Source organism: Homo sapiens, chromosome 11 (genome assembly GCF_000001405.40).
Source record: "Homo sapiens chromosome 11, GRCh38.p14 Primary Assembly".
In the NCBI taxonomy this organism is placed as follows: Eukaryota; Metazoa; Chordata; class Mammalia; order Primates; family Hominidae; genus Homo; species Homo sapiens.
The window spans coordinates 41,821,930-41,843,953 of record NC_000011.10 but is presented as its reverse complement, the minus strand read 5'-3'; the positions used below and the strand labels follow the sequence as shown (position 1 = coordinate 41,843,953).

The following is a 22,024-nucleotide window of genomic DNA, read 5'->3' as shown; positions in this document are numbered from 1 at the left end:
TATTTTTTATCATGTTATTATTGTCTTACATTACAATTAAGATTATTGTAGTATTATGAAGTAATTTTGACAATATTCCTTCTTTTTTATTCTTTGGAAATCTTTATATAAAATTGAAAATATATTTTTATCAAATGTTTGCTAAAACCCAGCACTGAAATAATATGAAATCGTTGTTGCAATAGTTTATTTTTTCTCCCACTGATTAAACGTATTTTAAATTTATAAGCTTTACATACTTTTTAATTAAAATTTTCTTTTAGATTTAGGGAGTACATGTACAGATTTGTTAACTGAGTATATTGCATGATGCTGAAGTTTGGTGTACGAATGATTCCATCACCCAGGTATTGAGCATAGTACCTAATACCTTTGAAAACCTTGTTCCCTTCCTTCCCCACCCCCTCTAATAGTCCCCAGTTTCTATCATTGCCATCTTTATGTGCATGAGTACCCAGTGGTTAGCTCCCACTTATAAGTGAGAATATGCAATATTTGGTTTTCTGTTCCTGCATTCATTTGCCTAGGATAATGGCCTCCAGTTGTATGTGTGTTGCTGCAAAATAAATGATTTTGTTCTTTTTTATGGCTGCATAGAATTCCATGGCATATATGTACCACATGTTCTTTATTTAATCCACACTCGAGGGTCAACCAGGTTGATTCATGTCTTTGCTGTGGTAAATAGGGCTGCAAGGAACATGGGAGTGCATGTATCTTTTTGTTAAGATGATTTATTTATTTTTGAATATATGCCTAGTAATTGGATTGCTGGGTCAAACAGTAGTGAAGCATGATATTTTCTTGACTGCTTCATGGGACTCACGACAAGGGCGCCTCATTTACTCAGCCTGCCCCTGTCTAACCCTCGCAGGAGGGAGCATGTGAGCGAAAGACTGCAGGAACTGGAGCGAGCACTTTAAGGCTCTGGGAGGAACAAACTCCATTTACTCGGTTTGCCACACTCAACCCCTTGTGGGAGGGAGCAAGTAGATGAACTAGCACAGGATCCAGCTGGCTACTTTTAGGCAGCGGCAGGAGCAAACTCCATGCCGGCCCATGGCAGCATCCAGCTTGGGGTGCCTGAGACCCCCAAACCTCAAAGGGCATGTTACAGTGCTCTTTTAGCTCGGCCATCCGTGGATGGCTTAAGTGTTAACAGTTCAGTGGGCCCTTTGCCTTGTCATGTGGTGCAGCTGCCCTCTGCCATCGAGGGCAAAGGGCCAGTATGATAGCCTTTTTTGGGGTATCCACACTCATGGCTCCCAAGCTCTTGTCTAGTGCCCAGGAAAAATTATGTTGCATGAACGAATTGAAGGATGGTGAATGTGGAGGATTTTACTGGACAATGAAAGTGGCTCTTAGCGAGTAGGGAAAATGGAAAGGGCATGGAAGGGCAGGTTATCTTCCCCTCAAGTCTGGTGGTCTCCGGCGGGACTCTTCTCTGAAGTCAAGCCATCAAACTATCCCTCTGAAGTCAAGTCGCTTCTCTCCGATGACCAGCCACTTCTCAGCTCCTCTCCAGTTGAGTCCAAGGGTCTTTATAGGAACAGGACGGGCGTTCGGGTGGTCCATAGGCAGTTTAGAAAAAGGCAACAGTCGAGTGGGAAAACAGGGATATAAGTTCTCACTTTGGGTCACAGGTTTCAGGCTTTTCGACTTGAAGGTGGGACTTCGTCAGGGACCTGCCACCGTCTGCCTAGAGTTTCTCTGCCTCCTGCCTCTGTTGTATCAGTAGTTCTAAATTCTTTGAAACATCTCCAAACTGCTTTTCACAAAGGCCGAATGAATTTATATTCCCACCAACAGTGTATAAGCATTGCCTTTTCTCCACAGCCTCACCAGCATCTGCTGTTTGTTGACATTTTAATAATAGCCATTCTGACTATTGTAAGAGGGTCTCTCATGGTGGTTTTGATTTGCATTTTCCTCATAATTAGTAATGTAAAACATTTTTTCATATATTTGTTGGTTGCTTGTAAGTCTTCTTTTGATAAGTGTCTGTTCATGTTTTTTGCCCATTTTTAAACGGAGTTATTTGGTTTTTGCTTGTTAAGTTGTTTAACTTCCTTATAGATTCTGGATATTAAACCTTTGTCAGATGTGTAGTTAGTGAATATTTTCTCTCACTCCTTAATTTAAATATTCCTTTATCTTTATAAATGCTGTCTGTTTAATCTGCTGATAGTTTATTTTGCTTCACCAAAGCTCTTTGGTTTAATTAGGACCCCGTTGTCAATTTTTGTTTTTGTTGCAATTGCTTTTGAGAGCTTAGTCAGAAATTCTTTCCCAAGGTTGATGTCTATAATAGTATTTCTTAGGTTTTCTTCTAGAATTCTTATAGTTTGAGGTCTCACATTTAAGAGCTTCATAGGCTCACATAAGCCTCTTTAAAAATAAGTTTGATGTTTCTTTTTTCTTAGCTATTGTAGATGTCATCCAAGTTTCCAAATTTACTGGCAAAAATGTTAGCATAGTCCTTTGTGAGTTAAAAAAAATCACAGCAGTTTCTGCAATTTTGTCCCTTTTTCATGTATTATTATTTATATGCATTATCTGTTTTTCTCTTGATCATGGTTAACAAAGATTTGTCTATTTTTATCAGCTTCAAATAATCATCAATAAATTTATTATTACCTTCTTTTGTATCTTTATTTTTGTATCTACCATGCTTTTTTTCTATTTTATTTTGGTTGCTTGTTTTCCTTTTCTAGCTTCTGCTGTTACATTCATACCTCAATAATTTTGGCTTTTTCAAACATAAGCATTACTGTGAAAGGACTATGAATTCAGTTTTAGCAGTTCCTCAAAAATTTGCAATGAATAAATTATTTTATTGTTTATTTAATTTCCATTATAATCTCATTGTTAACTATATATTATTAACAATATATGACTTAATTTCTAGCTTATGTCTTATCTTTAGTTATGTTTCTGACAATGATATCCAATCATAATTACATTATGTTCAGAGGACATTGACTGTAGAATAAAAATTGCTTGGAAGCAATTTGAATTTTTGCTTAAGAAGAAAAAATATTCTTAAACTGTTATGTACAGGGCTCAGTATATGTCTTTGAGATTAGCTACTACATTCCTACAAGGTTCATCAATTATTCAAAGAAAAATGTTAAATTTTCTGAAGTTGATAAAAGATTTATATATTGTCTTGCAATTTTGGTAGGTTATTTGCCTTATATACTTGTTTCCTAAATCAGTACCTGCTTATGATAGTCAAATTTTAAATTTCAATTTGAACCTCTTTAGTTCAAACAATATTATTTTTTACCTTAAAGTTTACTTTTTCTCATATCAGTATAAACACTTCATATTAATTGCCTGTGGCCTTTTTTCCATTTTGTTTAATTTAAATACTCCTTTCTCTTTATGCTAAAGCGTGGCTATAATAGGCATATAGCTAGACTTTAAAAATCTAATCTGATGAACTCTTTTAAATAATATTATTAATACATAAAATATATATAATACCATATCTGATTATACTTATTGTAATTACTGATAATTTTGATTTATTTATAGTCATTTTATTTTGTTTATTTGTTCTGCTTTTCATTTTTCTTTATTCCTGCCTTTTGCTTTATATTGAATTGAGATTTACAATTAATTTTTCTTCTCATTCTACAAATTTAAAAGTTACACACACTTATTTGTGTTTATTATTTTAAAAATTTATTTGATTATATGAATGTGAGCCTGGTCATTTAATTTAACGAAGTCTAAATTTATTACATTTTGTTACTCTACTTCAAAGTAATATGATGAACATCTAAACTTCAATCTTCTTATTACCTTTATTTTTATTATATTTGGTCAAGATTTCAGGTATTTTATAATAATTTTTACTCCTAAATTAGACTGTATTGCTATAGTTTTATACAGTCATATACCTAATATCTGGGGTAATTTTTTTGCTCCATTCTCCAGTCATATTTTGGTTAGGAAATACAATTCTAGATTAAGAATTATTTTCTCTCAGCAACTGGAAAATGTTATTTTACATTAAATTTTAAGTTCTTCACTTGATGAATCTGCACTGGTATAATTGTTTTGATTTATTTATAATAAGATTTTTCTCATTGTATCTGAAATATTCTCTTTGTTTTTGGGTTTTGAAATTGTACTGCAATAAATCTCTTGTGGATTGTTTTCATTTTAATTACTTTAAGTTTTTTATGCTTTGTCAATAAGAAGAAATGTGACTTTTATAATTTCTGGAAATTTTTCTTCTATATTTTTCCTTCCTTTTTAAAGGCATTTATTTATTTATCTTAATTGACACATAAAATTGTACATCTATTTTGTGCACAACATATTTTGAAATACGTATATATATTGAAATGACTAAATTGAGCTAATTATCATATTCATTACTTCGTGTAGTTGCTTTTTTTTTGGTAAGAACACTTAAAATCTGTCAGCAATTTTCAAGAATACATACAATATATTGTTATTTAGTATAGTAACCATGTTGTACAATAGAGCTCTTGAACTTATTCCTTTTATGTACCTGAAATTTTGTATACCTAGACCAATATCGTTCCAATACCTTTCCCCAATCCCTAGATCCCGGTAACTTCTATTCTACCATCTACTTCTATGAGTTCAACAGTTATAAGTGGAATCATGCAGAATTTGTCTCTCTGTGCCTAGTCTTTATTCACTTAACATAATGTCCTCCAGGTTTATCCATGTCATAACTAATGACAGTATTTCTTTCTTTTTGAGGCTGAATAGTATTCCATATTATCTTTTTTCATTCATCCACTGAAGGACACTTAGGTTGATTCCATATTTTGGCTGTTATAAATATCAACGGGTGTGCAGATATCTCTTGGATGTACTGATTTCATTTCTAGAAAAATAAATAAATGAATAAAACAATCCTATTTACAATAGCTACAAAAACTACAATACTTAGGATAAATTTAACCAAAGGCATACCAGACCTGTACATTAACAACCATAAAAAATAGACAAAATAAATTGAAGACATAGTCATTCATTCCATGTTTAGTGATTATAAGAATTAATGTGTTAAAATGTTTATACTAATCAAAGCAATCTATAGGTTCAACGTAACCCCTATCAGACTAACAATGACATCTTTCATAGAAAGAGAAAAAATAATTTTAAAATTTATGTAGAACCACAAAAGAACCCAGATAACCAGTCTTGAACAGAAAGAACAGAACTGGAAGTATCACACTACCTGACTTCCAAATTTAATACAAAGCTATAGTAATCAAAACAGCATGGTATTGGCATCAAAACAGACACATAGACCAATGGCATGGAAAGCTCAGAAATAAACCCACATTTTTACAGTTCATTGATTTTTGACAAAGGTACCGAGAATACACAGTGGAGAAAGGACAGTCTCTTCCATGGATGATGTTGGACAACTGGATATCCATATGATAAATAATAAAATTAGAATCTTATGTTATACCACATATGAAAATATACTTAAAATGAATTAAAGACTTCTATGTAAGATTTGAAACTGGAAACCAACTAGAAGAAAACATAGGGGGAAAGCTCCATGACATTGTTCTGGGCAATGATTATTTTGGACATAAATCCAAAAGCACAGACAACAAAAGTAAAAATAGACAAATGGGATTGCATCAAATTAAAAAGCAATGTAATCACTGAATGCATGCATTGTATTTTCAGCAAGTACACAGAGGAAAAAGTATTTACAAGTTGTGTCATTTTGGGTATATTATTTAAGCGTTTTACACAAGTTTTCGTTTTTTTTTTTTTTTAGTTTTGTGGAACTTTTTTTTTTTTTTTTTTTTGAGATGGAGTCTCTCTCTGTCACCCAGGCTGGAGTGCAGTGGTGCGATCTCAGCTCACTGCAAGCTCCGCCTCCCGGGTTCACGCCATTCTCCTGCCTCAGCCTCCCAAGTAGCTGGGACTACAGGCGCCCACCACCATGCCCGGCTAATTTTTTTTATTTTTAGTAGAGACGGGGTTTCACCATGTTAGCCAGGATGGTCTCGATCTCCTGACCTTCTGATTCGCCAGCATCAGCCTCCCAAAGTGCTGGGATTACAGGCTTGAGCCACCGTGCCCAGCTTACACAATAATTTTCTTATCGGTGAGAATGGACACGATCATAACAAGCACATGGGGATTTCAAAAAGTGCATGAAGATGTTTTTAAAGCAATGAGTTTTGTACCTGGTACATTGAAAACAGCCAAAAATGGGATTTAGTTTTGGGTTATAACAAAAATTGTCATGGAAAATCTGCCTGGAGATGCAGATAAATGGATTCACATGAGAAAGATAAGTAGGAGTTTCCCAGAGAGTGAGAAAACATGGAAGGGAGAATCTCATTCCAAAAGGAGGAAAGCAGTAGATGATAAAGAGTTCATATTCATTGAGCACTTACAATGTGTCAGGCACTATAGCAGGGGTCAATAAACTACCATCTGGTGCCAAATCCAGCCTGTTTGCTGCCTGCTTTTGTAAACAGGCTTTATTGCAGCACAGCTATAATCAATTGTATGTGTATTGTCTATGACTGTTTTCACACTACAATAGCAGTTAGAGTTGTAACAGAGACCATATGTCCTTTATTACAGACAAAATATTTATTATCTAGCACTTTACAGTAAAAGTTTGCTGATCTTTGCGCTGTATTAAGGAATAAATGTAAATTTTCTCATTTAATTATCTTTCAGTATCAAGGGAAATGAAAGGGTGTGGTCAGTTGAAGAAAGGCAATTATTTGAAATTGGTATAGTACCAGGGCACAGAGATGAAGAGTATGTGGTGAAGAATAAAAATTGAGACAAGAAAGATAAATTACAGATAGTGCTTAAATATTTCATTCACTAATATTTGAAAATAATGACAAGGAATGTGTAAGACCAGATAAAGTATAATTATCTGGGTCAGATAAAGTATAATTCTCTAAAAATATGTGCACAGCTACCTGCTTCAGTGGCAAAGAAAAGACCTTATTCAATTATTTCCCCCCATTACAAGTTATTTTCTCTTCACACATTTGCTGTTTGTGTATCACCCCCTTTTTACTGCTTGCTTAGTCAGTATGTGTCTCTCATTCCTAAGAATCTGTTTACAAAAAAAAACTTTCTTCATTCTTGCCAATACTTTCTTCAACACCCCATCCTACTCCCTCATCCCTTCAGGATTTATATGTGTGGGTTATTTTTTTTTTTCCTTTTTGCCCTATGTTTAGGTCTTACATGAGCTTCCCGATTTTCAAACAGCCACATCCTACACAAACTCTGACTCTCATTCCAATCTATCTTGCCAAAATTTTTCTGAGCTTGTGAGTCAGTGTTTAAAATAACCTACAGGAACTGGGCTGTAATGATCTTAGGATATTTTACTCTCAGGAGAGTGTTACTGTTTCCTAAGATGGCAGACATACCTAAGTCAAGAATATCAATTCCAAGTCCCCAAAGCAAATCTGTTTGCATTGCAGTTCATTTTCAAGAAGGTGCAACGCACCTACCTCTAGGAGCTCCCATAACACAATCTTTAGCATAACTGTTGAATTCTCATGAGTGAGATGAAGTCAGTGTTTCAGATATATGAACTACACAGATCTAGAAGAGGAGAAAAAAGCACACTGACTTAGTCAAGAAAGCCTTCCCAAAGGGGAGAAGCTGACATTGAAACTGGAACTGTGAAAAATGCATTATGGTCAAGTACAACTATAAGGATAATAACACATGGCAGAATATATAGCCTTTGGGACTAATCAAGAATGGTGACAGCATTGTATTCTATCAATTTAGTTCAATTAATGTTTATCTATTTTTTCATTCATTCATTCATTCATTATTTCATTTATACTATTTCCATTCAGCAATCATTTTAAGCACTATGCAAGTCAATGGAAATTTAGAGATAAAGAATTCATGGAGTTCAAAGCTTATCGTGGTCAACAAAGCATACACACACACACACACACACACACAAACACATATACACATATGTAATTTATACACACACAATTACACAGCATATTTATATACATATGCAGTAATTGCATAATGGTGACAACTACCATTTACCAAACATCTTATGTTGTTTGTTGCCATTCTCGTAACCCAGTAAATTTGATATTCACGTAGTCACAGAGGTTCATAAAGGTTACCCAAATTGCTCAAGGAAACACAGTTTGTAAGTGGCAAAGCTGAAATTTTAACCTAAGTTTGTCTGTATCTAGAGCTGGCCATATATTTTTCCTCTGTGTTGCATTGCCTCTTTGAGAGATGTGGAAATTGCAACAACTTGAAACATATCCGAAGAATAGATTTAGTGAAGAAGAGATGACCAGCAATAGATGTTGCCAGACAAGACAGTGAAGTGGTTGATAGGAAAATATTTAGCAAGATTTCTTAAGAATTCATAGTAATTTTGGAGACGAAACAACTCCTGCATGAATCAATTAAAGAACAGGCCCTTCTTTCATTTAGAATATTTTGCAACTTACATTTGAAGCTATGGGCTCCTCAAGCAAATGCTTTTTCCACTGGTTTTTAATCCCTGTCCTGGTTCTCTTCACTATATGATAGGAAGGTTGACCAGAGAGATTTTCTGGCCAGGTTCTCCATGTACCTTAGATTGGGGTTAATATGGGATAACTGAATTTGACTATATTAAATTAAAAGAGCCCAGGGTGACTTACATTTCAATCTTTTCCAGTCTGAATTCCAGGCAGGCACTATGGTCTGTTATTCTGTTCAAGGAGTTCCACCATGTAAGTAGCAAAAGAATGCTGAGAATAAGTTTAAAATCAAAATGAATTGAACTCAGGGATTTAGGTGTACACTGGCATTTTTTTTAATGAGCTGAAGCCCTGACTAATGAAATATGCTTCATGTTGCACCAAAGTTTTTAATGTTAGTGACAGTCTTAGAAGCTATGATGTTTTTGACATTTTAGGAGCTTCCACATTAGTCTGAGCCAAGGTACCTCAAACTTCAATGTGCATACAAATCACCTAGGGATCTTGTTAAAATGCTGCTTCTGATTCTGTAGGCCTGAGATTCTGCATTTCTAACCAGATGGTGCCCACATTGCTGATTAGCAGAGCTCATTTAACTAGCAGAGGTGAAGATATTGAAATAACAAGACATAAATATGGGTGGAACATGGTTTTCTAGTCATCTTGCTGGCTTTTTGTCTTGGAATATATAGTATTTATATATATATATATATATATATATATATATATATATACACACACACACACATATACACACACACACACACACACACACATAGTGAAATTTATATAACACATAGAATATATCAACCATGAAAGGAACGTAATAGGTTGCCCAAAGTAGATTCTATTATACTTCAGGATGCAATGAGGAAATACAGAGCTGGCCAAGAAATATTCCATACTCATGGCAGTGCCTCTGCACTATCTGCGGTGGGAACCAGTTTTCTTCCCATTCTGTCTTAGACCAATAGTTAATAAAATATATAAATTACTAGAAAAAGATACAAAAATAAGTATAAAATATAGTTTTAAAGTTATTTTTGAAATGCTACATTCAGGGTTTGAAAAGAAAAATTAATTAATGTTTTTTAGGTCTGAAAAGAAAAAAATTAACATTTTTTAATTTCAACTGTCATAAAATTTTCCTAATTTCATATAAAAGTTTTATAATGCTAACTCTCAATTTCCATAACTGTTTCCTCAGAGACTGGCCCAATGTGCTGACCACACTATGAGCAGCATGGTTCTTGTAATGAGTAGTTCAGTAGGATACATAAATAAGTACATTTACCACAGGATTGCATATGACATGGTACAATGCTCTGCACACCACAAATACTTAGTAACAACCTGTTAACTGCTCACTGATGATTTTGGTTCCTTTTCATCTGAGTGATATTAAAATATTTTTATATTCTATATTTCCTTTCTGTTTAGATTCATTTAGTTTGCTCCCTTTGGCCTTTTGTTTTAAAAATGCGTCTAAACACCCTCGCCGTTACTGAATACAGAAAGAAATATAAGGTGAAGGATTATCCATCTTGTGTGAGGTGATTACAGCATAAAAGGACTATTATTTTAATAGGGCTTGACAGCTTCAGCAGAGAGTTGTCTGATAGCGACAAAGTTAGGAAGATATTTTTTTCCAGTCATGAATAGAGATAAATATACTTAAGTGATATGGGAGCAGGGATGTGATGATTTCAATGACTCTATCAGGTTCATTATGACTAATAAAAAATTAGTCATAAAAGAACATGTGTCATGTTTTCCAATATTAGAGAAGTTAACAATTAAAATATAAGTAGTGTGATATGAGTGAAAAATAAGAACCCATTTTAATATAGACTGGCCAGAAGAGATTACAATGCCATATTTGATGGTATTACCTTTTTCATCGTAAGAGACCTGGAGGGTGGGTAAAGAGATTGAATGTGTTTCACAATACAATATAGATGTTGTCTCTCAAACTCATGATCAGAATCAAAAGGAGGCAGTAAATAAGAGTATTGATTGGAGATAATTCTGGAGAGGTTATCTTTATAAACTGTGAATTAGAAAAGGTGAAACATACCTGCTGATTTGAACATTTGCCTCCAAAACAAAACACCTTTTCTGCTCCATGTACCAGTGTACCTTCTCTTCAGTGGAAATAAAGTCTGACATATTTGGCTTGAGTATTTAATTATTGTGATACTGGGTGTTCTTAACTGTGCCTCCCCACTGCAGTATTAATACAAGATGGGAATAAAGAAACTAGTCTTTCCCTTCTTTTACAGAGAACTCTTGTCCAAAGGGGTCATTGGAACCTGCTGGAGATGGTTTTTTCACAATCCTCATTTCATTTTCTGTTAGTCTTTGAGAAAAGTGAATATATCGCAATTTAGAAAATTGAGTAACACATTCAGAAATGACAACTCTGTACTTGGTTTTGCCAAGAGGATTCTCCAGATAATCTCCAAGATGTAAAGACTTAAGATGTCATCAAAAAACAAGGACTGGACCAGGAGCGGTGGCTCATGCCTGTGGCTCCCAGCACTTTGGGAGGCCAAGGCAGGCAGATCATGAGGTCAAAAGATGGAGACCATCCTGGCCAACATGGTGAAACCCTGTCTCTACTAAAAATACAAAAATTATCTGGGCATGGTGGCACATGCCTGTAGTCCCAGCTACTCGGGAGGCTGAGGCAAGAGAATTGCTTGAACTTGGGAGTTGGAGGTTGCAGTGAATGGAGATCACACCACTGCACTCTGGCCTGGGCAACAGAGTGAGACTCTGTCACAAACAAACAAAAAAACCACAAGGACTGGCTTTGAATATCCTGTTGTTTTGTTTCAAAATATGACATTTTCATTCATATTTCTTGGTTTTCTGTGGATCTTACATGATTTTCACAGGAATTCTCACTGTGAGAATTCCTTTTCAGACAACTAAATCTCTTTGTTATTGTTCATTGTTTACATGTTAAATAATATCAGTTTACTGTGGCTTATTTCCTGGATACACTTTCATTAGACAAATAATGAATGGGTTTTTAATTTCTCTTTGACATTCTTTCCTGTGGCCAGGTAAACGATGCTGGACCACCAAGACATGGACAGCCAGTTTGGGAGAATCTAATTTCTTCATTATTTTTTCTTAATACTATTTATTTCATAGAATCTGATAACGGAATATACTTTTTGGCATGACCTATATACCATTTATAGGTTTGTACAAAAGAGCAGTTTTTGCCATTGAAAGTAATGGCATATTACTTTTGCCATTGAAAGTAATAGCAAAAATCGCAATTACTTTATCCTGGTGCGTCTTTATGCTGAATAAGTTTCATGGTTAAAAGTATTGAAGCTAATCAAATTCTGGTTCTACCCTTTACCAGCCATGAGAACTTAGGAATGCCTTTTTAGCTTTTCTGAACTTCAGTTTTCTCATCTTCAAGATGATTGTAATGACCAAATTTACATCACAGAGTTTTCCTGAGTGTTAAATGAAATATAACCTTTTAAATCCTTACCACAGAATCTGGAATATATAAACGACAAATAGTAGCAACTATTTGTGAGCCTTTATTTACATATTTACAAAATTTATATGAGGTAGATGACATTAACTCTCTTTTATCTATAAGGAAATAGGCTAAGAAATGTTAAATAATTTTGACATCACACAGCATGTTAATCCAAACTATTAAACCAATCAGAGGTATTGTCTTTCCTCTACATTATTCAGAAAATACCCTTTCCTATGCAATACTGTAGTTGGGTACCTCTAGCGTCCAGCAGTATCTTTGGGCCTGAATGCCACCTATTCCTCTCATACCTATTCTATTGTTTATTTCCTGGATGTAAGAGCTAATGTTTATTAATCCACTAGTTACAGACCTGTGGATTTATATACATAATTCTGATTTTAGCTATTTCATATCTAAAGTGTATTGAATAAAAATGTGAATTTCACTTCTACCGAGTGTATGCAATAATATTATCTTTTAAATTTTCAGCAAATTTTGAAGCCTGTGAACCATAGGGATATCTGACATGATGGAACTCTGAAAATAAATATACATGTTTTTCTTTTGCCCTCCACGGCTTCCACCACAGTTGGGGATTGCCATGATCCCCAAATGGTGGCCAGATAGTGGTACAATGTGACTTTCTTGGAGTAATTATATCCCTAAATCCGGATCGAATAAGAGACTAAGGGGACCCAATAGTTCAGATCCACAGTCTTCCCATAATGATCTCCTAGAATTAGGTTGTTGTTGTAGTAGATAGAAATGATTGACCATATAGCATCTGTAAAGCCAAATAGGACAAACTGACTAAAGCTAAAATGTCAAGAGAAGCTTCCAGTTTGGAAATCAAGGATTAGAACAAAGCCCAAAGGGGTTGGAATTTTCAATAAACAGAAATAAGTCCTTAATCTACATGCAAGGGCATTTGTTCTATCAGGACCACGGTAAGGCAATCCAGATAGTTCAAGACCAAAACACTGGAAAACAAATAATGTCGACTTCCTTCTGGGGAGGGTTTGTTTGGCAGCTGCTCACCCTTCTATGATTCCTCTTGGGTTTATATAGCTGTGGGTTGCCTCTTAAAAGTATAAATGAGGTCTTTTGGTAGCTGTCAATCCAGAGTAATATAAAGTTCTATTTATGGTAGCACTAAAAGAGGAGCCAGTGACTATATATTTAACAAACTGTTAGATGTTGGAACCTAATAAATTATCTCCCCCCAAATCTATCTCAACACCAATTCATCAAGAGAACTTGGATTGCTGTTATGAGTTCAGAGGCCCCTGTTGCTCTTCTCCATAGCAAGAGTATATGACTTTCTCAAACCTGACTTAACGATACCAATTTCAGGTAACTACTGGAAGTCAACATTGTTTCAAGCAGTAAATCTTAAAAATCAACTGTACAGACTCTAGTCTATATTTTCTGAGTTCACTCCAGGCTCTGCAATTTACTAACTCTGGCCATCAGCAAATTATTCAATTATGTTAATCTCTATATATTTAAAATAGGAATTGTAAGACTACAAGCCTCAGATGACTGTTGTCAGAAGATAAAATGAGATAAAGCACATTAAATGTTCCAAATGATGATTGTCATCATTAATAGTGTGAGAGAAAAATAAAGTATTCAAAACCGATGGATGCATCAGGAACAGGCATGAAACTAAGAGGCCAGGCAGACCTCTGAAAATTATATGAGAGCAAAATTTTCTGATGTAAGAGTACGAGGCATTCTCACGTGAAATGGGTAAATAATGCAATGATAATTTCTTTAAACAATTTATCCTGAGAAAGACATTAAATTATAAAAAGGTATTCCTTTAAAAAATGTATCCAAAGTGAGAAATTGACAAGAATCAGAAGCAGAATGTCAAAAGAAAGGGAGCTACTGTCTGTTGCCCAACAATGAGCAAAGAACCAGTTTAAAACTTTTGCTAAACCATTGTAATGAATCCATCCCATCATCTCTGAAAAATCAATTTTCTGAATCATCATGGAAATAAAATTATTTGGAGTTTAAGAAATAGTGTTTTGGTGAGAAGAAGCTTCACAACTTTAGTAAGACTGGGTACTGAAGCTATAAAAGGTCTTTGTGAGAGAATGTTGCCTTGCTCAAACAATATTTCCAGCAGACTTCATTTGGGAAATTTAATCCACAGAAATAAGTACATCAGGTTTTATATATAAAGAAATTCATTTCAGTATTTTTATGGCAACAAAAATAAATTGAGATTATGCAGAAAGAGTGGCAAAAGTATATATAATAATTTATTATATAAAATATGCAACTATTAAAAGGAATACATTAGATAAATATGCATTAATAAGGGAAGGAAGTAGAAAGAAAGAAGGAAGAGTGGGAAAAAGAAAAGAAGTGATATCCCTGAATTTCTAAACTTGACAAATCAAGAAGCCCATTTCAACAAATCGGGAAAACCATGATAGTTTTCCCCAGAGTTTATAAAAAATGTTCCAGGTTGTTGGTTTTCTAGAGTTTATAACATGATTTAAAGCTGCAGCACTCACACTGACTGTTGAATGAGAAGCAGTATACTCACCTAGATATCTGTGAAACTTCTTAATTTTTTCAATATCAGCCTATTTACATTTGTGCATAGTTCCCAGCTGTGAATCTGTAGTCCTTGTACTCTCACAGAATTAAGTTCTCATTTGAGAATATGATTAAAAAAAAAAAGAACGTAGCACATATACACAAATATAACTGAGGGAATCTGTGTGAGAATGAGGCCAATAAAGTAGAACCAAGATAGGAGACAGAGCTCCGATGATATTGTTGGATAGGCCTGTGCTGAAATTCAGCTCAATTTTCAGATATTCAGATAAAATAAGCCAATACATTCTACTTTGAGCATGCTTAGGTTGGGTTTCTGAGACTGCAGGTAAATTCCTTCTTTATCTAGTAGGAAGAAGAGATTGGTAAAGGTATGATTAGGTGTTGATTTGGTGGCAGAAAGTTGGGATAATACCAATCTGTTGGCATCAGTTTTCTATATTAAAAGAAGTTAAGGTTATTCCTGAGAGAATAAAAAGATTATGGAGTTGGTTGTAACAAACAAGGAAAATTTGAAAGGGAGTGGGAGAGTGCTGAAGAAAGAAACACAATGTAATGTGCTGGTTAAATTAATTTCTTAAGATCTAATTTCAAACATACATTTCTTATTTTATTCAAAAACATATAAAAGCCTAGCAACCTAGCAACTATTTAAAAGAAAATTAGAAAATACCCAAAATCCTACTACCTTAGGACACTATTTTTTACTATCTAAATCTCTTCTCATGAGCAATATTATTCTGTGTGGCAAAGATTTTGCCATTTTGTGATCTTCCCTTTCTCAGTTAACCAGAACTCATATTGTACATGTAATTATTGTCTTAATAAGTAGATTGATTAAAATATAAAATGAAAATCCATTACTTCCTGGTTTTAATTACTACAAAAATACAAATAGTATTTCCTTGGTATATTATTATAATTTTAAGTACTCATGTATTTTATTTTTTAATCTATATAATCATGAACATCTTCATATACAGTGGTAAATATGGAATTTCACTGTTTTCCTTTCTTTCCCTTATAGTTACTCTGAAAATATATCCAATATATTTAATCACTTTTTTCCCTAGGCTACTTCTTCAAAAGATGTCACTAACAACTTGAATTCTATTTCCTAGTTCCTGTGGATTCTATTTAGTCATAGCATATATTTAGTCCCTTTCCTCCTGGGCCACTTCTTTAAAAGATGCCACCAACAACTTCAATTCTGTTTCCTAGTTCTTATTTCCTGTATGAATCATTCTCATTTGTGTCACTGTACTGTAATGACAAAAAGACATTTGACAAGAAAAACATCAAGTACATTTTTCAGCCAGGTTCCAACAACTGTACTTACAAAACTACGTAACCTTAACATATATTTATATGTTAAGAAATTTATATGTTATTTATATGTTAAGAAATTTGATATATTCTTATCAAATTTACATAGATTTGTCTTTCTAAAATTGTGTAAAAAGAAGGGCTACCGGTAACCAATACAATACAAACAGGGAAGCAATTCCATGTTACATGTGGGCCCACTTATAAATACTGCTGCCAATACTACTACATGCTAAAACATTTTATCTCTAAATATAATCTCCTTATTGATATCAACTTTTATGGGAAGAATGATAATATGCATTTTTACAGCCAACTGAAATTTCTAATGCACTTTTGTTTTAAAGAGGAAGTCTTGCTATGTTGCCTAGCCTGAACTTGAATTCCTTGGCTCAAGGGATCCCACCACCTCAGCCTCCTGAGTAGCTGGGTCTACAGACATGTACCACTGTGCCTGACTCCAATGCACTTTTAACTTCAATTTTCTGTGTTCTTCCTTACAATCATCCTGGGGAGCAGATATGACCATTAATCTGCTTCTTCAGATGTAAAACCTGAGGTTCAAGGAAATTCGTTGATATATCCAATATCACACAGCTAGAAGTAGCTGACTCAACAGCTGCATTTTCTGTTATATAACACCGCTACGAGTTAGGGAGACAGATGTGAATTCAAATGTTTGCTTCAACATTTATTGCTTGTAATTCTAACCAAATTCACATATTTATGCTGGTCTCTGAAATTTTAGAGAACATTGTCTACATTGTGGATCTGGTAAAGATTTTATATCACTCCACTGAAATTTTTTAATGTAAAGTCATCAACTACCATTTTATTGACAATTTCAGTAGATGCTTTTTAACCTTCTGCTGTATTTGTCATTACTGTCTTTTTCTTACTGAAGTACTCCATTCTTTTGATTTTTGAGACATCATAGTATCATAATCACTTTTCCTCAGTCTTCTTAAATATTTTGTTTCCCCTCAAAGTTCCATTCTTCACTCTGTCCCTGAGAAATCTACACCTTCTCCCTATGTAATCTCACCTTCTGCATGCCTTGTCATCCATGTGTTGCTATTTCACTGTATTTGGCTAAATTGTTTCTCCCAAAAAGATATGTCTAAGTACCTGAGCACCTGAGAATATGACTTTATTTGTAATAGGGACAGGGGGCAGAGAAATTCAAGGCAGAAAAGGGCAGGTGCCTGGCAAAACCCCACCCTCAAGCCAAAAAGCCTGAAACTGTGGCTCAAAGTGAGAACTTCTATCCCTGTTTTCTGGCTCGAATGTTGCCTTTTCCTAAACCACCCATGGCCCCACCCTGCCCCATCCTGTGCCTATAAAAACCCAACTCAGCTGCTAATTGGGACTACAGCTGGACATCAGAGAGAAGTAGCTTGACATCAGAAGGACAGCTTGACAGCGTAACTTTGGAGAAGAATCCAGCTGGAGATGGCCAGACTTCGGGGAAAGATCGTCTACCCACCCAGTCCCCTTTCCAGTTTCCCTTCCCACTGACAGCCACTTTCACCAGCAATAAAATCCCCCACATTTACCGTCCTTCAATTTATTCTTGCAGCCTTTTTTTCCCAGATGCCAGACAAGAGCTTGGGAGCCACAAATGTGGATATGAAAGGCTGTCGCACTGACTCTCTGCTCTTGCTGACTCAGGGCAACCACCTCATGCAGAAAGGCAAAGGGCTCACTGAGCTGTTAATACTTAAGCTAAAAAGCACTGTAACACACCCTCTGTGGCTTCAGAAGTCACAGGCACCCCGACCTGGATACTGCAGTGGGGCCTGCTTGGAGTTCATTCCTGCTGGCGGCAAATTGTCCGGCTGGTTCCTGCACCTGCTCACCTGTGTGCTCCCTCCTGTAAGGGGTAGAACACAATGGGTCCAAGTGAGTGGAGTTTGGTCCTGCCAGCACCGAAGGGGCTGGCCGGTTCCAGTGTTCATTCACTCCAGTTCCCACACTTGTTCGCTTGTGCACTCCTTTCTGTGAGGAGTTGAGAGCAGGGGGCTGAGTAAATGAAGCACCCCTGTTGTAAGTCCTGCAAAGGGGTCAGGGAAATCCCACTTCATCTGGAAATAAAGTATTTGCAGATGTAATTAAGAACCTCAAAAAAAAATCATCCTGGACTTAGGGTGGCCTCTAAATCTAGTGACTTGTGTCTTTAAAAAGAAGAAGACACACAGATGTAGAGAAGAAGTCAATGGGGCAATGTGAAGATGGAGGTAAAGACTGGAGTGATGTGTCTACAAAACAAGGGATGTCAACGATTGGCAGTAGAGACTAGAAGCTAGAAGAATGATGTAAAACAGCCTCTCCTCAAGAACCTCCAGAAAGAGCCAACCCAATGACACCTTGATTTCAGACTCCTAGCTTCCAAAACTGTGAAAGAATACGTTTCTGTTCTGTTAAGCCACTTAATATATGCTAATTTGTTACAGCAGCCCTAGAAACTAATACATTCCCTAACCTACCTTTTTAGCCCAATTTATCGGCTATATCAATGTTGTGTCCCCAGACAGATAAACCTTTTGTCCAAAGCTGAGATTTTCACATGCTATCCCCAAACTTGCTCTGTTCACTACACAAGGGCAAGACCATGTGTAGTCATAGCAATATCATCACTTAAGTAATGTCTTCTGTTCCTAGGGCTTCAGTCCAATGAGAAGTCTATGCAAATAACTATCAAATATATGTCTATAATCCTGATCTGTATTTCTAGCTCTGAATCAGTAAACTCTGCTACCTACTCAACAGTTCTTTCTCCTTGGTATTTGAAAAACTACTTGTACCTAATATAACAAAAGAACAAATTGTGATGGTTCCTCCACTCCAAGCATAATCCTCTTGGTTCTCTAAATCAGCTTCCTCAGTGTTTCCACCTTATATAAGCTTGAAAAAAACAGAAACCTAAGAGCCATCCTTTACACTTAATTCTCCCTAAGTCATTCCCAAAATATAGCCCACTTATGTTCAGTAACTCTTTAATGTACATCTCCAGTCCCTCTTATATTCAATAACTCTTTAATGTGTTAACTTCTATCTCTGCTACCATCTCTTTGTGACCCACTTCTGTCATATCTTCCACAGATTCTTGCAATAGCCTCTGGCCCAGTGAACTACAAATATTTTTGCTTTTTCCAATGGCGAATCCAAAGAAAAACTAGATTGGTCCTTTTGATTACAATAGTGATCACATTTTACCTCAACACATCTACTTCTACTCTTTGAAATACCTGAATGGATTCCTGTCACTTTTTTTATCCAAAGCCTGAAAAAGTCCTCAAGACTCTGTTGAGTCTGGCCCAATTCCTCAACCTCTAGTCAAAAAGCACTTTCCTGTTTTCCACCCACAATGAGATACCACTAGCTTTAAAAATGCATCATGCTGAATTCTGAATCTTATCTGCCTGGGATGCTCTTTCTCTTGCTTCTTGATTGATAATGTCTACTATCTTTTACATCTTAGCCTAAAAGTTACTTTCTTAGAAGAGAGTTCCTTTTTTATTATTTATTTATTTATTTATTTATTTATTTATTTATTTATTTATTTTTTGAGACAGATTCTCGCTCTGTTGCCCAGGCTGGAGTTCAGTGGCGTGATCTCCACTCACTGCAAGCTCCACCTCCCAGGTTCAAGCCATTCTCCTGCCTCAGCCTCTCAAGTAGCTGGGACTACAGGCACCTGTCACCATGCCTGGCTAATTTTTTGTATTTTTAGTGGAGATGGGGTTTCACCGTGTTAGCCAGGATGGTCTCGATCTCCTGACCTTGTGATACACCCACCTAGGCCTCCCAAAGTACTGGGATTACAGGCATGAGCCACCACACCCAGCCACTTAGAAGAGACTTTCTTATTCCCCTAGACTAGGCGAGGCTCACCTATTCTATGTTCTTCTAGCATTATTTTTCTTTATTCTATGGAAGTCTTCATAGAATTCCACATTTATATGAATGATTGTTGGATTAATATTGGTCTGATCTCATATTCAGGATATGAGAATATGCCTGTCTTCTTTATTGTATTTCTATTGTCTTTGTTAAGCATAAAGCTGGCAAGAGGAGAAGCTAAAATAATTGCTGAACAAATGCTATTGAATAATGTGCAAAACACGCTTGGTGTGGGTATGAAACCATGAACACATCAATCACCATGTCTGAAATTATAGAGCTGTGATCTATAGAGATTATTGGAAATACCAATTTCCGTATCAGAGCTGGAAGTTGGGACTTTGATTCAAAATATGGCAGCATAGTACAAGGTAGCTGAATGAGGCACAAACTGGAGCTCCAGTTAACTCTCTATTATCTAGCCCCAAACTATGTCACTGCAATGGAGGGGTGCAGAAAAACTGAGCCCCTCCATGGGGACACTGCTAATTTATGGAAATGTTCAACATCCAGGACTGCTTGTATGTTTCTTCCAGAGAGATATTTATTACTACCAGTGAAGGAAAATACAATAAATACAATTATTCAAAAACCAATTTCCCTGGTCAGTTCCGTTATACACTGCTGCTACTATCATGAATATTTGTGTTTTAAATAAGTGCTTTTTCATTCTTAACACCTTCTGCTGCTACTATGTGATTTCAAAGCTAAGAAAACAGGTTACCTGGCTGTATTGATGAAGAGGTCTAATATATCTTCTTAGGGGATTTTATTTCCAGTGTGTTAGAGTGTTACTTGTTTATGAAGAAAATTTCCCATTTTTGTTGGGAGTACAATGTCTTTCAGAAGAAAAAAGAGGGCCTACTTTAATTTTAGGTAGCAAATGAAGTTGGACATTTGGGAGGAACAGGCCATGAAATGTACCTCTAGACAAATCTAGAGAAAGAACTTTATGATTAAATCAGGGCTAAAAATGAGAAAGCTAATTTCTCCATCTGATTTTTTTTCTAATTATCATGGTGAATAGGATTTAATTCCTGAGCTGGAGCTCCAGCTATGATACTTTTCAGCTATCAAGTCTTGCCTACTTTAACTTTTGGGGTTTCTTCTTCCTCAGGTCTTACATGGTGACAGTAATTCCATGCCTGGCTTTCTCTGAGGAGGGTTAGGCATCTCCTATTCAATAATAAATTTGAAAACATAGTATACATTATTAAACAATATACATGTCAGTAGTTAGATTTTATTACTATAATGAAATATAGACCAAACTCACCCTTTCACCTCTTTATCTGCCTAATTTCTATGCATACATTAGATCGCCCTTAAATATTCCTTCATCTAGGATTTTTTCCTTGCCTTTGACCCACCCTTAATCATGTCCATGGTGTCCTACTATTCTGAGAGAATCATAAGTCTCATGGTAATTGTGCATTTAGCTCCCTGTCTTCTTCATTAGACAGAAAACATATTAAATACAAGGACCTTTCTTATCTTACAAACCACTCTACAATCAGTGTCTTACAGAACACCTAGTATATATTGAGTACTCAATAGACAGTTTTAGATGTAGGCATGGTGAGAACAATGGAAAACATAAGTCTATAAAAGATGTTGTCTAAATAGAATATCATAAAATGGCACGGCCAGGAGTTATTTTATTTTTGGTGTTCAGTGAAAGAGATAATTTAAATTTGACAAATTATTAGCACAGATTAATAAGTCTCACCCCTAAATATCTATGCCTGTAGAGTTATTCACCTATTGCTATCAAATCAGTTATTTTTCCTTATTAATATTAACTCATATGCTGTTTCTTTAAATGCAATCATTTTCACCAAAAAATTAAAGGAATAAGATTAGTAATAATCTTCAAATGGTGACAAGATTTGTAGTTATATTTAGCATTACCTTGGGGACCATATTTTGACAAGTCCTAAATGCCACTCTTTTCTCTCTGTGGCCTTGTAAACAGATCTATTGATATTACCTCTTCATTTCAGTTGGCCACTCCTAGAATATGAATAGGCATGTTTTTTTCCACAAGACCTTTTTTTCCACAAGGACTAATTAGCTAATGTTTGTAGAGTGCCTCCAAGATAATAAGTACTATGGAGATGCTAAGTGCCATTATGATGAAGCTGTGCCTGTGGGATACTCTGAGACAGAAACTGCTTGAGAATGTGTTGCA

At 35.4% G+C, this 22,024-nt stretch overlaps 1 long non-coding RNA gene across 1 annotated transcript in view; it reads right to left on the bottom strand.

Moving 5' to 3' along the window:
* Positions 1–7,511: 7,511 nt before the first annotated feature.
* LINC01499 (long intergenic non-protein coding RNA 1499) overlaps positions 7,512–22,024 on the bottom strand; it is a 121,875-nt gene continuing 107,362 nt past the window's right edge. Inside the window, exons 4-6 of the long non-coding RNA NR_120584.1 lie at positions 17,677–17,803; positions 8,694–8,783; positions 7,512–7,605 (exon numbers count right to left, since the gene is read on the bottom strand). This is a non-coding gene — a long non-coding RNA (long intergenic non-protein coding RNA 1499). The remainder of the gene's footprint in view (positions 7,606–8,693; positions 8,784–17,676; positions 17,804–22,024) is intronic.